Here is a 13,361-nt window from a genome sequence, read left to right as displayed (position 1 = left end):
TCAAGAGACACTGGGCACGGGTCACTGGCCCCATGAATGCCAAGGGCTCCCTAGGTTACTGGAGACACAGCCTGTGCTCTGTCCAGAAGCAGCCTGAGATGCCGGGGCTGCCACTCCCCCAGCGGCCCCTTCCCACCACGATTGTGGGGAGCAGAGGCACACAAAGGAGCCTCCCAGGGCCACCTTTCCCTAGGAAGGGAAGCCTCAGACGTGTGGACACACTTCCCAGTGTCAGGACACTGATCCCTACACTGTGGGAGGCCCAGCCCCGCTGCAGACAGTCCCAGTGAGAACAATGGACGCCCACTCAGAGATGGTGGCCTTCAGTCTGGAGGCGCCACAAGCAGTGGCCGCCAGCTTTGCACAGCCAGGGTCCCTCAGAGCCAGCCTGAGGGAGGGTCCCAGGGCCGCCGCCGGCAATCCAGCAGGCAAGAGCATGCCTGAAGAGCATGCCCCAGGCTCTACCGTCTGATCCTGCTCCTTCTCCTCCCAGTCATGACTCAGGGTTTGACGAGGGCCTTGGCGTTTCACGGAGATGTTTATTCATGAGAGTTTTCATATCAAAACACACCGAGACCACATCTATATGCCGAGAACACAGGCACCCAGAGGCCTCCAGCAAGATTTGAGTAGTTTAATGAGTTTTCACTTATTGGATAAAAGTGTCAACATAGTGATGGCAAAACAAACGCAGCTCCAGCCCTTGTTTCCACCTTGTTGCAGCTCAGGGGCGCTGTCCCCAGCAGCCATCGGCGCCAGCATGAGGAAGGAGTCTCAGGATGCCCCTCCAGCGAGAGCCAGGTCGGGCCTCACTCCTTGAACTTCCATTCCTGGCGGCACATGGGGCAGTGCTGCTGCACCTGCTGTGCGTGCAGCCACTTGAGGATGCAATGCATGTGGAAGCAGTGGGAGCACTGGCCCCACACCAGCGGGCAGTCGTCGCCGGGCACCTTGCCTACGGAGGGGAGGTGGGGAAAAGGACAGGCATGACCAGGCTGGACACAGAGCATGTGACAAGCCAGGCAGGGGTGCAGGTAGGGACCCTGGGCAGTGGCTCCAGCACTGCAGCCTCTCATGTTTCAGAGAAGCCGAAATCAGGAGTGTTACCCAATCGGTCTCCTGACCAGCCCGCCCCCAGGCGAAGACCAGCAATGACCAAGGGACACCGGACATGCGGCCTCCACCCGGGGCAACCGCAGCAGGCGCCTCCCCTCACCCAGGCTCATCATGCTCAGTGGGGAGCCCAGGGGCCTCTCTGAGGAGGTGGCGCTCTGGCCTAGCCCACCCTGTGTCCCCTGTGCTTGAGGCTGGGGAAAAAGGGCAATGTCTGACCTACAGGCCCTGGGCCCATCTGCAGACACTTGATCTGTGATGCCAAAAAGGTCACATGAATGGTCAAGGCACCAAGGAGACGTGCATCTGAGTAGTGAACTGGTCTCTTGATCAAGGGCAGGAGGGGTGGGGTCTGGGGACCTAGAAGACTCTTCCCTAGACATCAGGGATCCGGTGTGCTGCCCAGGCGTTGGGGAAGCTGTGTTGATGGGCACCTGTGGATGGGCCCTGCCTCCCAGGACAGGCACAGGCTGCGGGCACCAGCCCAAACACCTAGAAATGCTTTCTCCATGGAGAGGACCTGACACAGAGAGGGATGCTTGTATCAGCCATGATCAAGAGAAATGAGTGTCCCTGATCTCCAAGAGCCTGGAAACCCCTGAGGAACAGCTGCTGCCAACAGAGCACAGCAAGTCCCAGCCCCAGCCCCACGGCAGGGTCGGCCTGGCATTGTGGAGCTGGAGCTCGTGGCCACCCTCCTGTCCTGGCAGCGCCGGCCCCACGGCATGCCCACTCCCAGCCCTGGGAGGACCTGCCCGTGGGGGTTTCTGGCCTCAGCACAACTCTGCTTGATATCGGCCCTTTCAAATGAGAGCTGAAGCCTGCTAGCCCCCTGAGGAGAGGGGTCTGGGCCACTCTGAGTACTCGGGGGAGGCCTCGTTTAGTCAAAGGTGTCACTTCGTTCTAGTGCATTCCCCACCCGAAGCCGGCCTGGGGTGTCTGATGAGTCCGCAGATGCACTGAGGGTGACTCATTCCAGGACCTGCTGGTCTCCTGATTGCATTTTTTTAAATTAAAACTCCTCTCGGCAAAACTGCACTGCCACCAGAGTCCCCTGGGATGCGGGATGGACTCATTGTTTACCAGCCTCGGGCTCCCACGGTCTTTGTTGAATGAACTTAGTCACTCTGAATTTTTCACAGGAGTTCAATTTTAGCAAAAGAAACCTGGTGCTGCTTAGTATGGAAGCACATTGGACTCGTCAAACGCTTTGCGCGTTAACACTGACTCACTATGACTTAACCATCAGCAGGTCCAAAAATTAGACTCTCAACTCCTGAGTCTCTGCAGCCAACAGGCCCCATGTTAACAAAGCCTGAGCACACTGTGTCAGCGGAGACATGCTGAGTGTTCAGGGCAACACCCTCTGGATGCCCCATCACAGGCCCAGCTGGCATGCTGCAGGGCGGGCTCTGCAGGCTGCCTGTGGACCCACCACTGCAGTCACTTGGGGGCTACCTAGCACCACCTCTAATCCACAGGATTCACCACCCACATCTGGCCCACGGATGCAGCCAGACGAGGTGTGGACACATGGTTCGGAGGAATTTCAGAAGTTAAGCTGCTGCTCCAGAAGTCGAATGCCTGCCCTCAGGGCATCCCACGCACTCTTTGTTACATCCTTAAGAGCAATTTAAAAGAGATCAAATAAAACTGTGCCTTGTGAATTTAGTTATTAACCTAATTAGCTATTAACTACAAATCCAATCAGGTAGAGTCAATCAATAATTTCCTAAGATTACACCCTACCCGTTTGATTAAATGAGGATTAATTCCTGAGTGATGAGATTTCTATTTAGCTAGGGCCAATGTAAAAGTTAAGCCTAGAATAAAAAGTATTTGTACGGGCCAGGCGCCACACCTATAATCCCAGCACTTTGGGAGGCTGTGGCAGGACAGAGCCAAGAGTTTGAGACCAGCCTGGGAAACATAGTGAGACTCCATTTCCACAAAAAAAATTAAAAATTTATGTAGTTTTGTTCAGGCATGGTGGCTCACGTCTGTAATCCCAGCACTTTGGTATGCCAAGGCAGGCAGATCCCTTGAGCCCAGGAGTTCAAGACTAGCCTTGGCAACATAGCAAAACCCTGTCTCTACAAAAAATAAAAAAATAAAAAATTAGCCAGGCATTGTGGAGCATGCCTGTGGTCCCAGCTACTTGAGAGGTGGAGGTGGGAGGATCACTTGAGCTGAGGAATTGAAGGCTACAGTGAGCTATGATTTTGCCACACTGCACTGCCGCCTGGGTGACAGCAAGACCCTGTCTCAAAAAAAAAAAATTGTACTAAGATTCAGTCATCTCAATTTCACCTTAAGAAGCAAAGACAGGGGCGGGTGCAGTGGCTCACACCTGTAATCCTGGTACTTTGGGAGGCCGAGGTGGACGGATCACCTGAGGTCAGGAGTTTTAAGACCAGCCCGGCCAACATGGTGAAACCCTGTCTCTGCTAAAAATACAACAAGGGCTGGGCGCAGTGGCTCATGCCTGTAATCCCAGCACTTTGGGAGGCTGAGGTGGGCGGATCACGAGGTCAAGAGATCGAGACCATCCTGGCCAACATGGTGAAACCCCATTTCTGTTAAAACTACAAAAATTAGCTGGGCATGGCGGCGAGCGCCTGTAGTCCCAGCTATTCGGAAAGCTGAGGCAGGAGAATCACTTGAACTAGGGAGGCGGAAGTTGCAGTGAGCCAAGATCGTGCCACTGCACTCCAGCCCTGGTGACAGAGTGAGACTCTGTCTCGAAAATAAATAAATAAATAAAAATAAAAATACAACAAATTAGCTGGCTGTGGTGGTGCATGCCTGTAATCCCAGCTACTTGGGAGGCTGAGGCCGGAGAATCCTTTGAACTCAGAAGGGTGGGGGTTGCGGTGAGCTGAGATGGTGCCATTGCACTCCAGTCTGAGCAACAGGGCAAGACTCTATCTCAAAAAAAAAAAAAAAAAAAAAAAAAAAAAAAAGCAAAGGAGGCAGATGAGTGTGGTGGTATGCTACTTGGGAGGCTGAGACAGTAGGATGGCTGGAGCCCAGGAGTTCACGTCCAGCTTGGGCAACACAGTGAGACCCTGTCAATCAATATGGGCATGCACCTGGCCCTACAAAAATACGCCTGGTTACTTGGGGTAGTGAGTAGCTTCTCGGTCCTCCCCATTCCCCACTGTCCTCTCCATTCCCCACTGTCCTCTGGGGAGTTCTTCTTGTCCTCCCTGGGCAAAACCTTGACCCTTGCTTCTGCTTTACGCTCATTTCGGTCTCATGAAAAACCATTTCGCTGATGCAAAACTCTGCTTTCAACCTAAACATAATCAAACATTTCCACTTTTTTTCTTTTTTTTTGAGATGGAGTTTCACTCTTGTTGCCCAGGCTGGAGTGCAATGGTGCGATCTTGGCTCACCACAACATCTGCCTCCCAGGTTCAAGCGATTCTTTTGCCTCAGCCTCCTGAGTAGCTGGGATTACAGGCATGCACCACCATGCCCGGCTACTTTTTTGTATTTTTAGTAGAGACGGGATTTTACCATGTTGGCCAGGCTGGTCTCAAACTCCTGACCTCAGGTGATCCATCCACCTCGGCCTCCCAAAGTGCTGGGATTACAGGCACCTGCCACCATGCCCGGCTAATTTTTTTGGATTTTTAGTAGAGTCGGGGTTTTGCCATGTTGGCCAGGCTGGTCTCGAACACCTGGCCTGAAGCAATCCGCCTGCCTTGGCCTCCCAAAGTGGTGGGATTACAGGTGTGAGCCACTGCGCCTGGCCTATGCCATTCAATTTTGAGAATTTTCAAATAAAAAGTTTAAACTAATCTTTTTTTTGTTTGTTTTTTGAGATGGAGTCTTGCTCTTGGCTCACTGCAACCCCCGTCTCCCAGGCTCAAGAGATTCTCCTGCCTCAGCCTCCCCAGTAGCTGGGATTACAGGCACACGCCACACACCCAGCTAATTTTTGTATTTTTAGTAGAGATGGCGTTTCACTATGTTGGCCAGGATGGTCTCAATCTCCTGACCTTGAGATCCATCCACTTCAGCCTCCCACAGTGCTGGGATGACAAGTGTGGGCCACCACACCCTGCCTTGATCTCTTGACCCTGTGATCTGCCTACCTTGGCCTCCCACAGTGCTAGGATGACAGGTGTGAGCCACCGTGCCGGCCTCCATCTCTTGACCTTGTGATCCGCCCGCCTCGGCCTCCCACAGTGCTGGAATAACAGGCGTGGGCCGCCATGCCGGCCTCCATCTCTTGACCTTGTGATCTGCCCGCCCAGACTCTAATCTCTTTTTAATCCCACGTATTTCACAGCTGAGTTTCATCCTATGGAGTCTGTGACAGGATCTTTATATAAACATGGGTACCAACCACCTGGCTTTTTTTCTATCAACTTTTCTTCATGAGATGAAAATGAAAATGTTGGGGGGGGCACGGTGGTTCGCGCCTGTAATCCCATCCCTTTGGGAGGCTGAGGCGGGTGGATCACCTGAGGTTGACAGTTCGAGACCAGCCTAACATGGAGAAAGCCTGTCTCTACTAAAAAATACAAAATTAGCCGGGTGTAGTGGCACATGCCTGTGATCCCAGGTACTTGGAAGGCTGAGGCAGGAGAATCGCTTGAGCCCAGGAGGCGGAGGTTGCAGTGAGCCGAGATCGCGCCATTGCACTCCAGCCTGGGCAACAAGAGTGAAACTCCATCTCAAAAAAAAAAAAAAAAAAAAAGAAAAGAAAGAAAGAAAAGAAAATAAAAATGTGGGCCAGGCAAAGTGGCTCACACCTGTAATCCCAGCACTTTGGAAGGCTGAAGCGGGCAGGTCACCTGAGGTCAGGAGTTCAAGGCCAGCCTAGCCAACAAGGCAAAACCCCGTCTCTACTAAAAATAAAAAAATTAGCCCAGCATGGTGGCACATGCCTGTAATCCCAGCTGCTTGGAAGGCTGAGGCAGGAGAACCGTTTGAACCCGGGAGGCAGAGGTTGCGGCAAGCCGAGATCGCGCCATTGCACTCCAGCCTGGGAAACAAGATCGAAACTCGGTCTCAAAAAAAAAAAAAAAAAAAGAAAATGAAACTGGGTATTTCGTGCAGGTATTTAACAGGAGCTACTGAGGCTAGTCCAGCAGGCAGCAGACAGCACAGAGGGGACACTCACAGTCGGGGCCGCTCAGACAGCATGGAGGGGACACTCACAGTCAGGGCAGCATCCGTTAAATGCCATCCTGCAGATGCCACAGTTCTCATCGTTGGCCACCCAGAGCCAAGTGGCCACGCCGTTCCAGCACTTAATCTTCACCTTCATGGCAGCAGAGCCTGCGGCGGAGGGAACAGGACGACTGGCTAAATTGAGTCTGCAGAGCTAGAACGTTTAGGCACCAACACAGGTATAAGCCTGCCACAGTGCAGTCCCAGCTACTCAGGGGGCCAAGGCAGGAAGATCATACCGGCCCAGGAGTCCGAACCCAGCCTGGGAAACATCGTGAGCCCTGTTTCTATTTTATTTTACTTTTATTTTTATTAATTTTTTTTTTTTGAGACAGAGTCTCACTCTGTCACCCAGGCTGTAGTGCAGTGGCATGATCTCAGCTCATTTCTTGTGCTTCGGCCTCCTGAGTAGCTGAGGCTATAGGCACGTGACTCCACGCCCGACTAATTTTTGTATTTTTAGTAGTCGAGGTTTCACCATGTAGGCCAGGCTGGTCTTGAACTCCTGGCCTCAAGCGATCTGCCACTGCGGCCTCCCAAAGTGCTGGGATTACAGGCGTGAACCCCTATGCCCTGCTATGAGCCCCGTTTCTATTAAAACAAATAACAAGTAAAGGGCTCTGGGCCCAGAGGGTCAGGGCTGCAGGGGAGCTACGGGAGAACAGCAAGCCCCAGCAGCAATCCGCTTTGTGGCTCACACCTGTGATCCCAGCACTCTGGGAGGCCAACTCGGGAGGATCGCCTGAGCTCAGGAGTTTGAGACCAGCCTGTGTAACACAGTGAGACTGAGTCTCTACCAAAAAAAAAAAAAAAAAAAAAGGAAAAAAAAGAACTATCTGTGAGGTTTCTTTAGCCATCTAGAGAAAGGGCACACTCTTCTCTCCAAGGGAAGGGACTCAGCTCCTTACGGACAAGGAGATCACATTTGGGAGCACAGGACAGTCAGGAGTTTGGTTTTACCTCACGTTGAGGATATCTTCAAAGATCTCAAATGGGCCTGGCCAACATGACGAAACTCCGTCTCTACAAAAAATACAAAAAAATTAGCCGCAGGTGGTGGCTCATGCTTGTAATCCCAGCACTTTGGGAGGCCGAGGAGGGTGGATCACTTGAGGTCAGGAGTTCGAGACCAACCTGGCCAACATGGTGAAACCCCATCTCTACCAAAAAAACAAAAATTAGAGGCCAGGCGTAGTGGCTCACGCCTGTAATCCCAGCACTTTGGGAGGCTGAGGCAGGCAGATCACAAGGTCAGGAGTTCAAGACCAGCCTGGCCAACATACTGAAACCCTGTCTCTACTAAAAATACAAAAAATTAGCCGGGTGTGGTGGTGGGCAACTGTAATCCCAGCTACTCGGGAGGGTGAGGCAAGAGAATCACTTGAACCTGGGAGGCGGAGGTTGCAGCGAGCTGAGATCACGCCAGCTCCCAGCTCTATTCGGGAAGCTGAGCCACAGGAATCACTTGGACCTGGGAGGCAGAGATTGCAGTGAGCCGAGATCGCACCACTGCACTCCAGCCTGGGCAACATAGTGGGACTGTCTCAAAAAAAAAAAAAAAAGCCAGCTGTGGTGGCGTGCACCAGCTGCCTGAGAGGCTGACGTGGGAGGATAGCTCGAGCCCAGGAGTTTGAGGCTGCAGTGAGCCAAGATCACACCACTGCACTCCACTCTGGGTGACGGAGGGAGACCCTGACTCAAAAAACAAAAACAAAAGCAAGTATCTCAAAACAACTTAAAATCCATGAAATGGGCTGGGTGTGGTGGCTCATGCCTGTAATCCCAGCACTTTGGGAGGCCAAGGCGGGCGGATCATCTGAGGTCAGGAGTTCAAGACCACCCTGGCCAACATGGCGAAACCCTGTCTCTATTAAAAATACAAACATTAGCCAGGTATGGTGGCACGTGCCTGTAGTCCCAGCTACTCGGGAGGCTGCCGCTGGAGACTCGCTTGAACCCAGGAGGCAGAGGTTGCAGTGAGCCGAGATCGCCCCACTGCACTCCAGCCTGGGCGACAGAATGAGACTGCCTCAAAAAAAAAAAAAAAAAATCAATGAAATGGCACACTGGTTTTCATTAATAAGTTGCAAAAATAATTTTTTTTTGGAGACAGGGTCTGGCTCTGTCGCCCAGGCTGGAGTGCAGTGGTGCCACCACGGCTCACTGCAGCCTCGACCTCCTGGGCTCAAGCAATCCTCCCACCTCGGCCTCCCAAGTAGCTGGTAGTACAGAAGTGCACCACCATGCCCAGCTCATTTTTTTTTTTAGAGATGGGGGTCTCACGATGTTGCCCCGGCTGGTCTCAAACTCCTGGGCTGAAGCGAACCTCTTGCCTCGGCCTCCCAAAGTGCTGGGATTACAGGCGTGAGGCCCGCGCCCGGCCCGCAAGAAAACTTGTAAAGGATATGACTGGCAAAATGTGACAGTGCAGACTTGGGGGGGCTGCAGGTGGAGACCAAAAAACCAACCCGCAGCTCGTCTGCAGCGGCTGCCGCCCGCCGAAGCCGCGCCCGCCGGACCCCACCGCGAGCCGAGCGCACAGTCCTGGGCGGGAGCGGAAACAAGGACTCCCAGCAGCTCCCAGGCACCCGCCGCGCCCGTAGCGCCCCCAGCGCCCCCAGCCCTGGCCGATCGGGCGGAGCGTGCGGGGAGGGAGGGGCGCGTAGGCTCCGCCTCCAACGGCCGCCGCCCCACCCCCTGCGCCCTCGCACCTTCGCCAACCTAATCACGCACCGCCCTACCCGCCCTTCCGTTGGCAGCGCCGGCGTCCGCGCGGGAAGGTATAAAAACGACCACAGTCGCGGCCCGACTCCCTCAACAGCGCCCGCCGAGTCTCGCACGCCAGTGCGCACGCGCCTCCCCGCCTCACCCCGTCCCGCGCGCGCAGCCGTCCGCCAGCGGCCAATCAGCAGCCGCTCCGAGGCCGTGGCACCGGAAGGCCTCACGCGGCGCCGGAAGTGACGTGCCGGCGTGCTGACGCGCGGGCTCGAGCCGATGCCCGATTCCGCGCCCGCCATGGCCGACAAAATGGACATGTCTCTGGACGACATCATTAAACTGAACCGGAGCCAGCGAGGCGGCCGGGGCGGGGGCCGGGGCCGCGGCCGGGCCGGCTCCCAGGGCGGCCGCGGCGGTGGGGCGCAGGCCGCCGCGCGAGTGAATCGAGGCGGCGGGCCCATCCGGAACCGGCCGGCCATCGCCCGCGGCGCGGCCGGCGGAGGCGGCAGGAACCGACCGGCGCCCTACAGCAGGGTGAGTGCGGAGGCCGGCCGCGCCGGAGAGTGGGAGGGGGCCAGCCGGGGCTGGGGCCGGGGCCGCTCGCGGCGGAGACCCGGGCCGGCGGGTGGATAAGGCTGGTGGAGCGGCCGCCCGGAGGTCCGGAGGGTGCGTGTGGGCGCGGAGGGGGTGGTGGGCGGGAGCGAGGTCGTTCTTTCGGGGTCCGGTCCCGGAGGCTGAGACCCTTCCCAGCTCTTTGTTTGTTCCGGACGTTGGGGCCTCGTGGCAGGAGAGGAGGGGACGCTGGGCGCGGCACAGGCGGCGGGAAGTTAGTCTAAGGGAACTGAAGTTGTGCGGCCGCGGTGGGACCGTGCGGCCTCGGGCTGGGGCAGCTGCAGCGCCGGAGGGAGCGCTGGCGGCCCCGTTTCGGCCGGATCCTCTCAGGCCGGGAAGAGGAAGGGTCCGGAGTAGCCGTGAGGGTCAGGAAAGCCCTGGACTGAGACTCACAGATCTGCTCTTGTTGCGGTTTTTTTTTCAGCCAAAACAACTTCCCGACAAGTGGCAGCACGATCTTTTCGACAGTGGCTTCGGCGGTGGTGCCGGCGTGGAGACAGGTGGGAAACTGCTGGTGTCCAATCTGGATTTTGGAGTCTCAGACGCCGATATTCAGGTAAGAGACGAGGGCTTCTCGGTGAGCCGTTCGCCCTGCACAGGACGGATCGTGATTTTGGGGATGTGGCCCTGAGTCCCCTTCCCGCCTTAGCGAAGGGAGCCCTCCCAGCTCTGAAGGGCTGCAGGACAGACCCAGTGCTAGTAAAGCCGGGGTCAGTGCGCAGGCAGGTGCGAGCCTAGCTGAGCCTGAGGAACTGCTGCTGTTAGTCTGAAGATGGGTTCTGTGAGTGAAAATCCCCTGCCAGGGCTTCCAGTTTCTAACAGGGACAAAGACTGACCAAATGTGAGTGGTTTTTGGCTGTTAGACCCAGCCCAGTTGCTTTTTAAATTTTGTGCCTGTCTTAGTGGGTTAATGTGAGAAAAAGAATCTTCTTTATGTATCTTGTGAAGCACAGGGAGTCTGTTTTTCTGGCTCTGTTTGCCTTGAGTACTGTCTTATAAAGACCTTGTACGCTGTGGTTTTATCACTCCCCACCGCCGTGTCCCGTCAGTGACATGACTCTCAAATCCATCTTTGGTTGAAGCTTTTCTTTTTTAAAAAAAGAAAAATTGAATCCCAATGGCATTTCAACTTGTTTTCTGGTTAAGAAATGACTTTTTGGGAATCAGTTTTGGAGATGGCTGGGCAGGGTTCAGTTGCCCACAGCCCAGCCATTTGCCTTGGGAGGACAGAGTAGGGCCAGTGAGCACTCACAGTGTCTCAACACTTTTTTTAAGGTGGTTTCTAGCATCCACTGGAAACCGCTTTTGGTGAACTCCAGTTCCCGCTGTGTGCCTGCGGCCGGAGTATCCCCACACTCTGGGTTCCCTCTCCAACTCCCAGCCTGCCTGAGGTCAGGGCAGTTTCCATGACAGCGCTTGACTTCAGACTTTGCCGCAGGCTTGAGTAGGAGGAGAGGGAAAGGTGAGCCAGAATCTGCCTTTGGGGGAGGGGCTGGGGTCAGGGCTCCCGAATCTACAGGCCCTTCAAGCTGGTCTGATATCGGACTGCTTCCCTTGCTCTTGATTTTGGCCTTTACCGTTTCTTGGAACAGCCCTTGGGTGTGTTGTACATTTTCCTTTGTTGAAGAGGATAGTGGCTTAATTTTGTGCCCGTTGCTAGTGGGCTTTGCAGCTTCCTCTACCTGCATCGTGGTACACGTGTCAGGTCCCCACAATGGCAGGAGCCCTCAGACCCAGGTGCTCTTGGAAGTTGCTGTCCCTCCTGCCCCGCCCTTCCCTCATTTCCCGTTAACCACTGTCCTGCCTCCCAGAGAACCACCCCCAAAGCAACTCACGCTTCCAGGGCCTGTCCCTGGGCCACCAGAAGGAACGCAGTTTTGTTGCTTTTCTGACAACTGCTCTCTGCAACTCCCAGGAACTCTTTGCTGAATTTGGAACGCTGAAGAAGGCGGCTGTGCACTATGATCGCTCTGGTCGCAGCTTAGGAACAGCAGACGTGCACTTTGAGCGGAAGGCAGATGCCCTGAAGGCCATGAAGCAGTACAACGGCGTCCCTCTGGATGGTGAGTCTGGGGGTGGACCCACGCTGACTGTGGGGCTTGTGGAGTTTGGGGCTGGCACCTGTCCAGGTAGGAATATGGGGTACCCCTGTGGCTGAGGACACTTTGCATTTGCCCCTTTGTCTCTCTCTTCCATCTGCCACCTCTCATGCTGCCCCACACATCTGGACCAACCTCTTGTGAACCCCCATCCAGCAAGCTACATCCCTCCCCTCCTTCAGCTCCTTCCGGAAGATTCACTTCTGTGAAGCCTTCTCAGAACCGCCATAGTACACCTCTGAGTGCGGGGCTGTAGTCGTAAAGACAAAGGTACCGGTTCTTCTTCGTCAGGTCACCCACACCTCTCCACCCACGAGCACCCCGATACCTCAGCGAGCAGCCCACCTAGTCTGGACTGAGAAGGAGTGAGGAGGTGTTGGTGGGGTTGCTTCCTTGCCATTTTGTTCTCCCACCAGTATCTCCAGGCCATTTCCCTTGTCGGGGGCATTTGAGACGCACAGAGGCCCTTTCCAGTGTTTGCATGGAGACCAGGGTGTGGCGCCAGCTGGGTGGGTTTCAGAGCCTCTCAATAGAACGTGCCTTCTCGTATTCTTTGCCGCAGGCCGCCCCATGAACATTCAGCTTGTCACGTCACAGATTGACGCACAGCGGAGGCCTGCACAGAGGTGACTTCCGGGGCCTCTGGGGAAGGGGATTGGCCGAGGGTGAGGCTGCGTCGCTCTTAGGGTCCTTCCGGGTGTGTGAACGGTTTCGTCTTCCTTGCTAGCGTAAACAGAGGTGGCATGACTAGAAACCGTGGCGCTGGAGGTTTTGGTGGTGGTGGAGGCACCCGGAGAGGCACCCGCGGAGGCGCCCGTGGAAGAGGCAGAGGTGCCGGCAGGAATTCAAAGCAGCAGCTTTCGGCAGAGGAGCTGGATGCCCAGCTGGACGCCTATAATGCGAGAGTGAGTCCCGGGGGAGCCAGCTGGGGGCCTGGTCAAAGCCGCAGTGGGGAGCAGGCCGCCTGTGAATGCAAGCCTCTTTCTCCTCTGTGTTTCAGATGGACACCAGTTAAACAGACCAGCAAATCCGCGTGCGGAACAGGACCCAGGCGTCTCCTCTTGCTCCCTGGTTGGGGGGCGGTGGCTGGGGCTGTGCGGCCAATGATGGATTTGTTTCTTTTATGTTTTAAAATAGGATTTAAAAACTCATGTAAAGGTTTTTTTTTTTTCTTTTTTTTTTTTTTTAATTCTGAAACAGACCTGTTTTGTACCGAGTTATTTTTGGGATAAATTTTACTGGTTGCTGTTGTGGAGAAGGTGGCGTTTCCACCTTTTCCATAATAAAATAGAAATGTGTGTAGAACTGGAACTGTTTGATTCGTCCCACTGTTGGAGTCCAGGCCTGGGCCAGGATTTTGGTGTCTGTCCAGCTGGGAGGGGGTGGGAGAACCTGAGTTGGGGATGGAGGGAGCAGCCCCATCTGGTGTTGGACACCTGAAGTTGGCATGGGTTGTGGGGGTGGCGGGGGGTCCCCGCTCCTGGAGGGCCGAAGCTGCCTGTCTTCTTTCTTATCTTCTTTCCTGCCTCACACCTAACACCTTCCTCTCTAACTCACCAGGTGGGAGGACACCTTTGCCCGGGAGCCACCTGTTGACCCTTGTGCCTGTGCCTCCAGGTGAGGGGAGGTTGG

At 55.1% G+C, this 13,361-nt stretch overlaps 2 protein-coding genes across 14 annotated transcripts, besides 4 other annotated features; one reads left to right on the top strand and one right to left on the bottom strand.

Annotated features, from left to right (window-relative positions):
• Positions 1-341: 341 nt before the first annotated feature.
• On the bottom strand, positions 342-10,085 carry ANAPC11 (anaphase promoting complex subunit 11). Of its 12 annotated transcripts, none has more exons than NM_001289417.1 (5): positions 9,034-9,162; positions 7,688-7,771; positions 7,261-7,323; positions 6,289-6,408; positions 342-955 (listed from the first exon to the last, which is right to left on the bottom strand). In NM_001289417.1, exons 4-5 carry the CDS (start codon positions 6,395-6,397, stop codon positions 810-812), a joined length of 255 nt encoding a protein of 84 aa, NP_001276346.1. In that variant the 5' UTR covers positions 6,398-6,408; positions 7,261-7,323; positions 7,688-7,771; positions 9,034-9,162; the 3' UTR covers positions 342-809. The 12 variants fall into 12 exon arrangements, with proteins under 12 accessions (NP_001276346.1, NP_001276349.1, NP_001276343.1 ...); NM_001289420.1 differs by lacking the exons at positions 7,688-7,771; positions 9,034-9,162 and adding exons at positions 1,548-1,633; positions 8,769-8,948; NM_001289414.1 differs by lacking the exons at positions 7,688-7,771; positions 9,034-9,162 and adding an exon at positions 10,024-10,085.
• Positions 7,637-7,852: a silencer, noted in NCBI's record as "fragment chr17:79850899-79851114 (GRCh37/hg19 assembly coordinates)". NCBI's record gives its function as "represses an EF-1alpha promoter that drives an FKBP-Casp9 reporter gene in an ReSE screen in HepG2 liver carcinoma cells {active_cell/tissue: HepG2}" and the evidence as "EXISTENCE:reporter gene assay evidence [ECO:0000049][PMID:32094911]".
• Positions 8,733-9,272: a silencer, noted in NCBI's record as "silent region_9161". NCBI's record gives its function as "represses an Ori minimal core promoter by ATAC-STARR-seq in GM12878 lymphoblastoid cells {active_cell/tissue: GM12878}" and the evidence as "EXISTENCE:reporter gene assay evidence [ECO:0000049][PMID:35858748]".
• ALYREF (Aly/REF export factor) lies at positions 9,288-13,040 on the top strand. 2 transcript variants are annotated; one of them, NR_158770.1, is made up of 7 exons: positions 9,288-9,552; positions 10,055-10,186; positions 11,546-11,693; positions 11,886-11,999; positions 12,292-12,355; positions 12,457-12,634; positions 12,730-13,040. NR_158770.1 is itself a non-coding variant. In NM_005782.4 (6 exons), the coding sequence occupies exons 1-6, from the start codon at positions 9,295-9,297 to the stop codon at positions 12,742-12,744; spliced, it is 795 nt and encodes a 264-aa protein (NP_005773.3). In that variant the 5' UTR covers positions 9,289-9,294; the 3' UTR covers positions 12,745-13,040. The 2 variants fall into 2 exon arrangements, 1 of the variants encoding a protein (NP_005773.3); NM_005782.4 differs by lacking the exon at positions 11,886-11,999 and having other exon boundaries at positions 9,289-9,552.
• Positions 11,271-12,470: an enhancer, noted in NCBI's record as "CDK7 strongly-dependent group 2 enhancer chr17:79846281-79847480 (GRCh37/hg19 assembly coordinates)". NCBI's record gives its function as "activates an origin of replication core promoter dependent on BRD2, BRD4, P300/CBP, MED14 and CDK7 cofactors, with strong dependence on CDK7, by STARR-seq in HCT116 cells {active_cell/tissue: HCT116}" and the evidence as "EXISTENCE:reporter gene assay evidence [ECO:0000049][PMID:35650434]".
• Positions 11,303-11,467: a silencer, noted in NCBI's record as "fragment chr17:79847284-79847448 (GRCh37/hg19 assembly coordinates)". NCBI's record gives its function as "represses an EF-1alpha promoter that drives an FKBP-Casp9 reporter gene in an ReSE screen in phorbol 12-myristate 13-acetate-treated (for megakaryocytic differentiation) K562 erythroleukemia cells {active_cell/tissue: K562(+PMA)}" and the evidence as "EXISTENCE:reporter gene assay evidence [ECO:0000049][PMID:32094911]".
• Positions 13,041-13,361: the final 321 nt, after the last annotated feature.

The sequence above is a fragment of the Homo sapiens genome, chromosome 17 (assembly GCF_000001405.40).
Source record: "Homo sapiens chromosome 17, GRCh38.p14 Primary Assembly".
Taxonomy (NCBI): Eukaryota; Metazoa; Chordata; class Mammalia; order Primates; family Hominidae; genus Homo; species Homo sapiens.
The sequence above is the reverse complement of the archived record's forward strand: the minus strand, read 5'-3'. Positions and strand labels throughout refer to the sequence as shown.

Coding starts and splice junctions, on each gene's coding strand:
- ANAPC11 (NM_001002244.2), bottom strand. CDS start 6,397: ATGAAGGTGAAGATTAAGTGCTGGAACGGCGTGGCCACTTGGCTCTGG. Junction 1,634..6,288: donor TAACGGATGCTGCCCTGACT/GTGAGTGTCCCC, acceptor TCTCTGTGTCAG/GTCCTCTCCATGGAGAAAGC. Junction 956..1,332: donor GATGGGCCCAGGGCCTGTAG/GTCAGACATTGC, acceptor TCCCCTCCGTAG/GCAAGGTGCCCGGCGACGAC.
- ALYREF (NM_005782.4), top strand. CDS start 9,295: ATGCCCGATTCCGCGCCCGCCATGGCCGACAAAATGGACATGTCTCTG. Junction 11,694..12,291: donor CAACGGCGTCCCTCTGGATG/GTGAGTCTGGGG, acceptor TCTTTGCCGCAG/GCCGCCCCATGAACATTCAG. Junction 12,356..12,456: donor CAGCGGAGGCCTGCACAGAG/GTGACTTCCGGG, acceptor CTTCCTTGCTAG/CGTAAACAGAGGTGGCATGA.